This window comes from Homo sapiens, chromosome 5, assembly GCF_000001405.40.
Source record: "Homo sapiens chromosome 5, GRCh38.p14 Primary Assembly".
Lineage (NCBI taxonomy): Eukaryota > Metazoa > Chordata > Mammalia > Primates > Hominidae > Homo > Homo sapiens.
In genome coordinates this window covers 14,628,379-14,641,765 of record NC_000005.10, presented here as the reverse complement: position 1 = coordinate 14,641,765, position 13,387 = coordinate 14,628,379, and the positions used below count along the sequence as shown (strand labels likewise).

General features: G+C 41.0%; 1 pseudogene; it reads left to right on the top strand.

Moving 5' to 3' along the window:
* CCT6P2 (chaperonin containing TCP1 subunit 6 pseudogene 2) lies at positions 688–2,554 on the top strand (annotated as a pseudogene).
* Positions 2,555–13,387: the final 10,833 nt, after the last annotated feature.

Genomic DNA, 13,387 nt, shown 5'->3' with positions numbered 1-13,387 from the left:
TGGAAGGCCAAGGTGGGCAGATCACCTGACGTCAGGAGTTCAAGACCAGCCTGGCCAACTAACATGGTGAAACCCCGTCTCCACTAAAAATACAAAAACTAGCTGAGTGTGGCCAAACGTGGTGGCTCACAGCTGTAATCCCAGGACTTTTTGGGAGGCCGAGGCGAGAGGATCACCTGAGGTCAGGAGTTTGAGATCAACCTGGCCAACATGGTGAAACCTCATCTCTACTAAAAATACAAAAAAAAAAAAAAAAAAAAAAATTAGCCAGCTGTGACAGCAGCCCTGGCAACGAGTGAGACTCCATCTCAAAAAAAAAGCTGGAGGCATGACATTACCTGACTTCAAATTATATAACAAGGCTGTAGTAACAAAAACAGCATGGTGTGGTATAAAAAATAAACACATAGATCAATGGAGCAGAATAGATAACCCAGAAATAAAGCCACATACTTACAAGCAACTGATCTTTGACAAAGTCAACAAAAATATACGCTGGGGAAAGGACACGCTATTCACTAACTGGTGCTGAGAAAACTGGATAGCCATATATAGAAGAATGAAACTGGAGCCATACATCTCACCATATGCAAAAATTAGTAACTCAAGTTGGATTCAAGACCCAAACACAAGAGCAGAAACTAAAAATCCTAGAAGAAAGTAACCCCATTAAAAAATAGGCAAAGGGCCACACCGGCTCTAGGCTGTCCATGCCGCATCGCTTCCTTTTCCTCTACTGCAGCAGCTATGGCAGTGGTGAAGACCCTAAACCCCAAGGCTGAGGTGGCCCGAACGGAGGTGGCGCTAGCGGTCAACATCAGCATAATGCAGGGTCTGCAGGACGTGCTGGGAACCAACCTGGGGCCCAAGGGCACAATGAATATGCTTGTTTCTGGCGCTGGAGACATCAAGCTTACTAAAAAGATGGCAATGTGCTGTTTCACGAAATGCAAATTCAACACACAACAGCTTCCTTAATAGCAAAGGTAGCAACAGCCCAGGATGATATAACTGGTGATAGTACAACTTCCAATGTCCTAATCATTGAAAAGCTACTGAAACAGGAGGATCTCTACATTTCTGAAGGCCTTCATCTCAGAATAATTACTGAAGGATTTGAAGCTGCAAAGGAAAAGGCCCTTCGGTTTTTGGAAGAAGTCAAAATAAGGAAAGAGATGGACAGGGAAACACTTATAAATGTGGCCAGAACATCTCTTCATACTAAAGTTCATGCTGAACTTGCAGATGCCTTAACAGAGGCTGTAGTGGACTCCATTTTGGCCATTAAAAGACAAGATGAACCTATTGATCTCTTCATGGTTGTGATCATGGAGATGAAACATAAATCTGAAACTGATACAAGCTTAATCAGAGGGCTTGTTTTGGACCACGGAGCATGGCATCCTGATATGAAGAAAAGGGTGGAGGATGTATACATTCTCAAGTGTAACGTGTCATTAGAATATGAAAAAACATAAGTGAATTCTGGCTTTTTTTACAAGACTGCAGAAATGAGAGAAAAACTCATAAAAGCTGAAAGAAAATTCATTGAAGATAAGAGTTAAAAAATAGAACTGAAAAGGAAAGTCTGTGGTGATTCAGATAAAGGATTTGTTGCTATTAATCAAGAGGGAATTGACCCCCTTTCCTTAGATGCTCTTGCAAAAGAACACATAGTCACTCTTCACAGAGCTAAAAGGAGAAATATCGAGGGGCTGACTCTTGCTTCTGGTGAGGTAGCCCTGAATTCTTTTGAAAACCTAAATCCTGACTGCTTGGGACATGCAGGACTTGTATATAAATATATATTGGGAGAAGAGAAGTTCACCTTTATTGAGAAATGTAACAATACTCGCTCTGTCACATTATTAAACAAAGGACCAAATAAGTACACACTCACTCAGCTCCAAAGATGCAGTAAGGGATGGCTTGAGGGCTGTCAAAAATCCTATTGATGAGGGCTGTGTGTTTCCAGGTGCTGGTGCTGTGGAAGTAGCAATGGCAGAAGCCCTGATTAAATATAAGCCCAGTGTAAAGGGCAGGGCACAGCTTGGAGTCCAAGCATTTGCTGATGTGTTGCTCATTATTCCAAAGGTTCTTGATCAGAACTCTGGTTTTGACCTTCAGGAAACATTAGTTAAAATTCAAGCAGAATGTTCAGAATCAGGTCAGCTTGTGGGTGTGGACCTGGATACAGGTGAGCCAATGGTAGCAGCAGAAGTAGGCATATGGGATAACTATTGTGTAAAGAAACAGCTTCTTCACTCCTGCACTGTGATTGCCACCAACATTCTCTTGGTTGATGAGATCATGCAAGCTGGAATGTTTTCTCTGAAAGGTTGAATTGAAGCTTCCCCTCTATCTGAATCTTGAAGACTCTGCAAAGTGATCCGGAGGAATACAGCTGTGGAATTTTTGTCCAAGCTTCAAATAATTTTCAGAGGAATTTTCCCATATGAAAAAAGGAGAGAACACTGGCATCAGTTGAAATTCAGAAGTTCTGAATTATAATTACAGTATTCTTTTAATTGTACTGAAGTGTACACACATAAAGCAGGTCTTTTACCCAGTGAACAGGATATTTTGATTTAGTGGCAGTGACATAAAATTCCTGTTAGATAAACATGTTACCTACCTTGTTATGAAATATTCCTTGAAAAAAAAAATGGGCAAAGGACAGGAACAGACATTTCTCAAAAGCAGACATGCAAGTGACCAACAAGCATATGAAAAAATGCTCAACATCACTAATCATCAGAGAAATGCAAATTAAAATCATAATGAGATACCATCTTATGCCACCCAGAATGGCTATCATTAAAATGTCAGAAAACGAAAGATGTTGGCAAAGATGTGGAGAAAAGGGAATGTTTTACGCATTGTTGGTGGGAATGTAAATTAGCACAACCTTTATGGAAAACAATATGGAGATTTCTCAAAGAACTAAAATAGAACTACCATTTCACCCAGCAATCTCACCAGTAGGTATATACCTGAAGGGACAGAAATCAACATATCAAAAAGATACTTGCACTCACATGTTTATCACAGCACTATTCACAATAGCAAAGATATATACTTAAGCTAAGTGTCCATCAGCCGAAGATTGGATCAAGAATATGTGATGTTTGTATATATATACACACACACACACACTCATCATGGAATACTACTCTGCCATAAAAAAGAATGAAGTCATATATTTTGCAGCAACATGGATAGAACTGCAGGACATTATCCTAACTGAAATAACTCAGAAAGTCAAATATTGCATGTTCTCACTTATAAGTGGGAGCTAAACAGTAGGAACATATGGACACACAGAGTAGAATAATAGACACTGAAGACTGCACAAGGTGGGAGTGTGGGAGGCGAATGAGGGTTGTTAAATCAGCTATTGAGCACAGTGTTCGCTATTCAGATGATGGGTACACTAAAAACCCAGACTTCACTACTATGCAAAATCTGTACTTTTGTCCCCTAAATATATTTAAAAAATTTTTTTAAAGATTGTCTTCTTTGGCTGGGCATGGTGGCTCACGCCTGTAATCCCAGCACTTTGGGAGGCCAAGGCAGGTGGATCACCTGAGGTCAGGAGTTCGAGACCAGCCTGACCAACATGGAGAAACCCCGTCTCTAATAAAAATACAAAGTTAGCCAGGCGTGGTGGCACATGCCTGTAATCCCAGCTACTCGGGAGGCTGAGACAGGAGAATTGCTTGAACCTGGGAGACGGAGGTTGCGGTGAGCCGAGATCGTGCCATTGCACTCCAGCCTGGGCAACAAGAGCGAAACTCTGTCTCAAAAAAAAAAAAAAAAAAAAAAAAAGATAGTCTTCTTCATTTTTTGAATGGTCATTAGGTCCTCTAGAAAACAGAGCATTATACTTTGAGAGGTGAAAACCCAGAACAAAGAGTGAGAGAAAAGAGATTTGAGGCAAGGAAAAGAGCTGGAGCAAAGTGACACAATGTGCTACTGTGTTGGCTATCACTTCACACAAAACTTCAAAAAACACACAGATATGGCAGGTCATTCAGCCACGTGCTGCCTAGCACATGAGAATTCTCCAGAAGGGCTGCAAGGAAGAACTGCATCTCAGAGTTTCCATGGGAGGGAGAATCTTGCTGCCTGCCTCCCTCTGTTTCCTAGTTCCTATTAATCAAGAATCTCCCCACAGAAAGCTAACTCATCGACATTTTTGAGTAGTTTCATCAAGCCCTTCAGCAGCCACTCAGGAGGCCAAACTCAATTCTGCATGGTGTATGCAGTGTTTCATCCAAGCCCAGAGTTGGGGCGTGATGCAGTACATAGGGCATATGAATTGGAAAAGAAGTCAGATTATCCCTTTTCAAGCCTGGGCATTCTACTCGGATTTCAGCCAGCCTGACAAAGATGGTAGAGAAGGCTCGGTCTGGGAAGTGGGTGAAACCTTCAGAAGGAAAGAGAGGCTGGGCGCAGTGGTTCATGCCTATAATCCTAGCACTTTGGGAAGCCAAGGCAGGAGGATTGCTTGAGCCCAGGAGTTTCAGATTCGCTTGGGCAACATGGCAAGACCCTAACTCTACCAAAAATTTAAAAACTTTAAAAGGCTGCAGGGCGGTCAAGGGAAACAGTCTGAAAGTGTCTAACACTGTAACTGACATTTGTATAATGCTCAGAACTACTGCTCTAAGTACAGAGGTGGCTCTCCTAAAGTGGTAACATTTCTTGAAAGGAATATAATCTACGAAGATCATTGGGAGAGTACATTTTAATAGTCATATAAATAATCACATTTTAAATGAAATATAATGAACATATGTAGTAACTGAATAACATAATTTATCCAACTTGAACCTTGACAGATGAGTCTTAGCCTATAGCAACTAGTCTTAGCCTATAACAAATATGATGCAACGGATAGTATGCTTGATATTCATTGTATCCAACTCTCAATGCTATTTAATACACTGTATTATTCAGACTCCAGTTTGCTTAAAAATCAGTTGGAGTGAATTATCCTACAGTTTGTTTTGCTAATGAAATATGTAAAAGCTTTCAAATCACTGTGAAAAGAATGAAAACTCGAGATACATTCATAATGGCGGTCAATTGAGAGATAGCTCTTCCAGATAATGTTTCACTAAAGTTAACACTGGAAAATGGCTTGAGATGGAAGCTGGCATGGGTTTTGCTTATTACAAGACCATTTTGTACTTGTTATTTTGAAGAACAAAAAGTATGAGCTCTACTAGTTAATACTCAAAAACAAGGAAAATCATTGCTTCCTGCTAACGGTCTTAAATATTGAACTACGGAACATCTTTGTTTCCATTGAATCTCTCTTGAGATTTCAAGTTACTTATTCCTGTTGTATTCATTGTGACTTTCAAGGTTTATCACATGACTTGCCATGGGTGTGTGTATGTGTGTGTTTAAAGAGTAGTTATTTCAAGTGGCTTGTGGAAGAGCAGAAATCCTCAGCAAACAATACCAAAACGGTGTCAACAATTGAGAATGTATATATAAGTTGTCACCTTTAAAGCAAACTGGAGTCTTTCAGCTGAACAAGACAAAATATATTAGGCATGGCTGCAGGAATAGCATTCCCCAAGGCCTTACCAGAGGTAAAGCATTACCTACAAATCCCATGAAGTGGAGGCAGATAATGGAGAATGTACTTCTAATGGCCAGAAGTCACACCAAACTCTTTCTCATGCAGCTCTCTAAGATCCACACAGTTTATCATGTCCCCCTGATTCAAAATTCATTCTTTTGCTGATACCTAAACACCCATGACTTTCAAATATTAATCTCCAATCCCAGCGTCTCTACAAGTTCCAGACCATATATTCACAGTGGGACCTCAAAATCATCATGACTCAAAAAGAATCTATCACCTATCCTTGCAAGTCTACCTTCCTTTCTATATTTTCTATTTTAGTTGATCATATTGCAAACCACTTACTCTCTTAAGCTAGTCATTTCATGCATCCCTTCAAAAATATTTTTTCGTATAGTAGGCCCTGAGGATACAACAGTAAACAAAGCAAAATCCCTTTCCTCATGGATCTTACATTCCAGTGAAATAGACAATAAATTGTGTGTGTGTGTGTGTATGTGTGTGTCAAGTTCAGTGGAAAAAAATGAAGGAGAATAAAGGGGTAGTGACTGACAGATATTCTGTTTGTTGTTGTTGTTTTTGAGTTCCGGGATACATGTGCAGAACTCACAGGTTTGTTACATAGGTGTGTATGTGTGCTGTGGCAGTTTGTCACATGGGGTGTGTGTGCTGTGGTGGTTTGTCACATAGGTGTGTGTGTGTGCTGTGGTGGTTTGTCACATAGGGGTGTGTGTGCGTGCTGTGGCGGTTTGTCACATAGGGGTATGTGCACTGTGGCAGTTTGTCACATAGGTGTGTGTGTGTGCTGTGGTGGTTTGTCACATAGGTGTGTGTGTGCTGTGGTGGTTTATTACATAGGGGTGGGTGCACTGTGGTGGTTTATTACATAGGTGTGTGTGTGCGCTGTGGTGGTTTATTACATAGGTGTGTGTGCTGTGGCGGTTTGTTACATAGGTGTGTGTGCTGTGGTGGTTTATTACATAGGCGTGTGTGTGTGCTGTGGTGGTTTATTACATAGGGGTGTGTGTGCTGTGGTGGTTTATTACATAGGGGTGTGTGTGTGCTGTGGTGGTTTATTACATAGGGGTGTGTGTGCTGTGGTGGTTTATTACATAGGGGTGTGTGCTGTGGCGGTTTGTTACATAGGTGTGTGTGCTGTGGTGGTTTATTACATAGGCGTGTGTGTGTGCTGTGGTGGTTTATTACATAGGGGTGTGTGTGCTGTGGCGGTTTGTTACATAGGTGTGTGTGCTGTGGTGGTTTATTACATAGGCGTGTGTGTGTGCTGTGGTGGTTTATTACATAGGGGTGTGTGTGCTGTGGTGGTTTATTACATAGGGGTGGGTGCACTGTGGTGGTTTATTACATAGGCGTGTGTGTGCGCTGTGGTGGTTTATTACATAGGTGTGTGTGCTGTGGTGGTTTATTACATAGGGGTGTGTGTGTGCTGTGGTGGTTTATTACATAGGTGTGTGTGCTGTGGCGGTTTGTTACATAGGTGTGTGTGCTGTGGTGGCTTATTACATAGGCGTGTGTGTGTGCTGTGGTGGTTTATTACATAGGGGTGTGTGTGCTGTGGTGGTTTATTACATAGGGGTGTGTGTGCTGTGGTGGTTTATTACATAGGGGTGTGTGTGCTGTGGTGGTTTATTACATAGGGGTGTGTGTGCTGTGGTGGTTTATTACATAGGGGTGTGTGTGCTGTGGTGGTTTATTACATAGGGGTGTGTGTGCTGTGGTGGTTTATTACATAGGGGTGTGTGTGCTGTGGTGGTTTATTACATAGGGGTGTGTGTGCTGTGGTGGTTTATTACATAGGGGTGTGTGTGCTGTGGTGGTTTATTACATAGGGGTGTGTGTGCTGTGGTGGTTTATTACATAGGGGTGTGTGTGCTGTGGTGGTTTATTACATAGGGGTGTGTGTGCTGTGGTGGTTTATTACATAGGGGTGTGTGTGCTGTGGTGGTTTATTACATAGGGGTGTGTGTGCTGTGGTGGTTTATTACATAGGGGTGTGTGTGCTGTGGTGGTTTATTACATAGGGGTGTGTGTGCTGTGGTGGTTTGCTGCACCTACTGACCTATCCTCTAAGTTCTCTCCCCTCCCTGCCCCCCAGATTTTCTGTTTTACATAGATTATCAGAGAAGGCCTCATACATTCCAGATTTGTATTTAATTCTTCTTTCTTCTTTGCCTCCCATGTCCAACTGATCACTCAACCCTCTCATTTTATCTCATTCTATCTCTCATAATTCCAACTGAAGTCATTCTTTTAAATTCAAATGACTATTCCCCATTCACTATCAGTAATGCTCTTCACAATTTGGTCCAGACTATCTTTTTTTATTTTTATTATTATTATTTTTTTTTTTTTTGAGACAGAGTCTTGCTCTGTCAGCCAGGCCAGGTTGGAGTAGAGTGGCACGATCTCAGTTCACTGCAACCTCCACCTCCAGTCTCAAGCAATTCTCCTGCCTCAGCCTCCCAAGTAGCTGGGACTACAGGTGTGTGCCATCATGCCTGGCTAATTTTTGTATTTTTAGTAGAGACAAGGTTTCACCATGTTGGCCAGGCTGATCTCGAACTCCTGACCTCAGGTAATCCTCCTGCCTCGGCCTCCCAAAATGCCAGGCTACATTTTAAACTCTAACTTCTACCACTCCCCAGTTGCCTATGACGATTTTTTTTTTACATCTCCATTGGTTCCCAATGCAGATTGGTGTAAAACTGCTTTATTAGTATTTGTTTTTCATTAGGCTCCTATTATAATGTGATCTCCTCTTGAGTACAGACTGTATCATTCATCTTTACATCCCCACATCTAGCCCAGTCCCTCGCATGCAGTTTAGTAACAAGTAAATGTTTGCTTGCTTCATTTGAAATTAATAAAAATTTATTGAAGTTTATTTCCTCCTTGTTCTTTGCGGTTTTGTTTTGTTTTGTTTTTGTTTTTGTTTGAGACAGAGTCTCGCTCTGTTGCCAGCCTGGAGTGCAGTGGCATAATCTCAGCTCACTGCAGTCTCCGCCTCTCAGGTTCAAGCGGTTCTCCTGCCTCAGCCTCCTGAGTAACTGGGACTACAGGCAAGCGCTACCAAGCCCAACTAATTTTTGTATTTTTAGTAGAGACGGGGTTTCACCATGTTGGCCAGGATGGTCTCCATCTCTTGACCTCGTGATCTGCCCGCCTCCGTGTCCCAAAGTGCTGATTACAGGTGTGAGCCACCATGCCTGGCCTATTTCCTCCTTTTTCTTTCAATGAAAGTTAGCTCTGTAAAAATTTCAGAGTGTCTTTATGACTATTTCCCTTGGAGACATCCCAGCAGTGTGAAGTTATGGAGACCACTCAGCTGATAGGAATTTTTTTTTTCCCCAGGTGTCATCATAATTGCTAGTGAGTTTCCCAAAAGCTTTGTGAAGTCCAGGTAAACATGGTCAGCTGTGTGCCTGCTCTAAGATCTTTGACAAATAAGAGACGAAGGCTGGCAGAGCCCATGTTTCTGAAATGCTCTCATATCTGAAATAATGTATGGCAGGGTAATGACAAAAGTAGCAACTAAAGAAACCTTTTAAACCTGCCTTTCTCTTACCCTGTTATATAAAGGTTTTTGTTGAAGATTGTCAATTCTCATAACCCAGCAGTTAATAATGGTTAAACTAACAAAACACATAAAGCAAAACAAAAGCAAAAACTGTGATTCTGGTGATACCACCAGAGAAAAGCTCAAGGCCAGCTTTATTTAATCCTTCATGTAGCATCCTCAAGAGACAGAAAATTAGACCAGGTGCAGTGGCTCACGCCTGTAATCCCAGCACTTTGGGAGGCTGAGGCGGGTGGATCATTTGAGGTCAGGAGTTCGAGACCAGCCTGGCCAACATGGTGAAGCCCCGTCTCTACTAAACTACAAAAATTAGCCAGGCATGGTGGCGGGCACCTGTAGTCCCAGCTACTCAGGAGGCTAAGGCAGGAGAATCGCTTGAACCTGGGAGGTGGAGGTTGCAGTGAGCCGAGATTGTGCTACTGCATTCCAGTCTGGGCGACAGAGCAAGACTCTGTCTCAAAAAAAAAGAGAAAAAAAAGAGAAAATTAGAGCAGCAGTTCAATTATCTTCTAGTGATATCAAAAATAGAACTCAGGTCTTCTGACTTCCACTATGTATTTATTTTAAAAAATAAACCTACCCAGGAATTATTTGGATAAAATATAAAAAGTACTTCAGATGATGCTGTTTTGACTGTAATAAACTAGGGCAAAATAATTTGAAGTTTTAAATGTTGAATGGGAATTTCAGATCTTTGTAAATGAAATGGTCCATGAACTATTATATCATCATTTCTGTCTAATAAAGTAACCATTTGAAAATCATTTCTGTCTAATAACCATTTGGAAAATATTATTTACCCTTTTGAACAAATTAAAATCTTAATTTTAAATGTTTAAGGCTGGGCACGGTGGCTTATGCCTGTAATCCCAGCACTTTGGGAGGCTGAGGAAGATGGATCACTTGAGGTCAGGAGTTCAAGACCAGCCTGGCCAACAAGGTGAAACCCCGTCTCTACTAAAAATACAAAAATTAGCCGGGTGTGGTGCTGTGTACCTGTAGTCCCAGCTACTTGGGAGGCTGAGGTAGGAGGATCACCTAAGCCTGGGACGTCGAGACTGCAGTGAGCTGTGATCATGCCACTGCACTGTATAACCTGGGCAACAGAGGGAGACTCCATCAAAAAACAAAACAAAAAAAAGAAGTTTAAATAATTCTTCAATTACATTGATACCAATTTTTGTTTTTAGCAGGAAGAACATTCCCTTAAGCCCATAGTAGAGAACAGCCAGTATAGGGGAGATATATTTTCAACTCAGCACTACGAGAATTAGAAGATATTTTTCAACTTAATGTAGGTGCTGGGTAAATACTGTATGGGAACGTTTTAAGAGAATAAATCTGATCTTGGTTAACTCACTAGTGTTTTTTTAATTCTGCTTTTCACTAAGGGGGAAAAGCTTTTGCAGAAGATAATAGTTTACATTTTAAAAATAATTTAATTTCTATCTATGTGAAAGGAATACATTTTCTTACCAAGTAACAGATTTTGAAAACAGGAGCTTAATACCTGTTAGGATAGGAAACAGTTCTGTGCTTCCATTTACTTTTTTTCTGGCTATCATTTCCAAGCAGAGTTTGTTTTATTGAGAAGAAAGTAGGCTCAAGATAATGAGACAGGTGCAGCACTGGGGGCATGGCTCTTCTGCAGGTACAGATGTCACTTATGCTGTGTCATCCAGTTTCATAAACAAGTATTTTGCCAGAGAGAAACTAAGAGTTTTATTTCATATGGTATTTCCCAATGATTATGTAGTGAAATGACTTCCCTGTTTCATAATGAGCTACTCAGAGCATAGATACTGAAATTCTCACTATGTTAATATTAACGAACCCTTGAAGAGTTGCTGAGGAAAGGATTGGGAAGAATCAGAGAAAGATCGCCTTTGAAAATAGTCCTTTACACAATGAAGAAAGTGAAAAGACGACCCACAGAATGGGAGAAAACATTTGCAAATCATATACTAATAAAGGACTTGTATCAGAATACATAAATAACTCTTTTACCTCAACAGTAAAAAGAAAAATAACCCAACTTTTAAAACATGGGCAAAGAGGCTGGGCATGGTGGCTCATGCCTGTAATCCCAGCACTTTGGGAGGCTGAGGCAGGCTGATCATCTGAGGTCAGGATTTCAAGACCAGCCTGGCTAACATGGTGAAACCCCATCTCTACTTAAAATACAAAAATTAGCTCGGTAGTGGCACATGCCTGTAATCCCAGCTACTCAAGAGGCTGAGGCAGGAAAATCACTTGAACCCAGGAGGCGGAGTGGTTGCAGTGAGCTGAGATCGTGCCACTGAACTACAACCTGGGTAACAAAGTGAGACTCCGTCTGATATGGTTTGGCTGTGTCCCCACCCAAGTGTCATCTCAAATTGTAGCTCTCGTAATTCCCACATGTTGTGGGAGGGACCTGGTGGGAGATAATTGAATCATGGGGGTGGTCTCTCTCATACTGTTCTCGTGGTAGTGAATAAATCTCACAAGATCTGATGGTTTTATAAGGGTTGCGCCTTTCACTTGGCTCTCATTTTTCCTTTTGCCTGCCACCATGTAAGATGTGCCTTTCACCTTCTGCCATAATTGTGAGGCCCACCCCAGCCAAGTGGAACTGAGTCCATTAAACCTCTTTTTCTCTATAAATCACCCAGTCTTGGGGATGTCTTTACCAGCAGCATGAAAATAGACAAATATACTGTCTCAAAAAGGGGGGGCAAATAATTCAAATAGACATTTCTCCAAAGAAGATAACAAGTGGCCAATAAATATATGAAAAAATGCTCAACATTATTAGTTATCAGGAATATGTAAGTGCAAATCAAAACCATAATGAGATACAACTTCACACCCACTAGAATGACTACAATTAAGAACACAGACAATAACAAATGTTGGAGAGGATGTAGAGAAATTAGAAGCCTTATACATGTGAGAATGTAAAATAGTGCCACTGCTTTGGAAAAGTATCTGCAGTTCCTCAAAATGTTAAACAAAGAAATGCTATAGCCCAGCAATTCCACTCCTAGATGTATACCCAAGAGACCTGAAAACATCCCCATACAGAAAACTTATACATGGATGCTCACAGCAACATTATTTGTAATAGCCAAAAAATAGAAACAACTCAATATCCATCAACTGATGAATAGATAAATAAAATGTAGTATATCAGTTGGACATGGTGGCTCATGCCTCTAATCCCATCACTTTGGGAGCCTGAGGCAGGTGGATCACTTCAGTCCAGGAGTTCAATTCCAGACTGACCCACATGGCAAAACCTCGTTGCTACAAAAAATTAGCCGGGTGTGGTGGTGCATGCCTGTAGTCCCAGCTACCTGGGAGGCTGAAGTGAGAGGATCATTTGAGCGCAAAGGTTTAGGCTGCCGTGAGCCATGATTGCACCACTGTACTCCAGCCTGGGTGGTGGAGTGAGATCCTGTCTCAAAACAAACAAAACAGGTCCAAACAATGTACTATTATTTGTCAATAAAAAGAAATGAAGTACTGATGCATATTACTACATGGATAATCCTTGGAAACATTATGCTACCTGAAAGAAGCCAGTCACGAAGGACCATATAGTGTATGATTCCCATCTATATGAAGTGTTCAGAATAGGCAAATCTATAAAGACAAAGTAAATTTGTGGTTGCTGGAGGCTGAGGGTTTGGGGAATGGGGAGTGACTGCTAGTGGATACAGAGCTTTATTTGATGGTAATAAAAATGTTCCAAATTTAGATCGTGGTGAAGGTTCCACAACTTTGTGAATATATTACAATCCACTGAATTATACATTTTAAAAGGTGAATTTAATGATATGTAAATAACTCAATAAAGCTATTTTTAAAATCAATCTTTGAATGCTTAAAAAGGAAAACTTGATAACATTACACTAATTTTTATTAATATTGTTGTCGTTGGTAACAGAGGCCCAGGAGAAAATATGAACAAAAATTGGTGAAGGCCATCACCAGACCTAGCAGTTGCATCCTGTTCAGCACCACAGACAGCTCCCTCGCAAATGCCATCCTTTCAAAAGGTACCATACAGAAGACAGCTACTGAGATTCTGCAGATTTTCTAAAAGTGACATTTCTATTACACATTTCTTCTTTTCAGCACTGTCATATGTAATGGTATGCATTATTGCGTTGTGTACATTTTGTGATACATCATCAATCTGC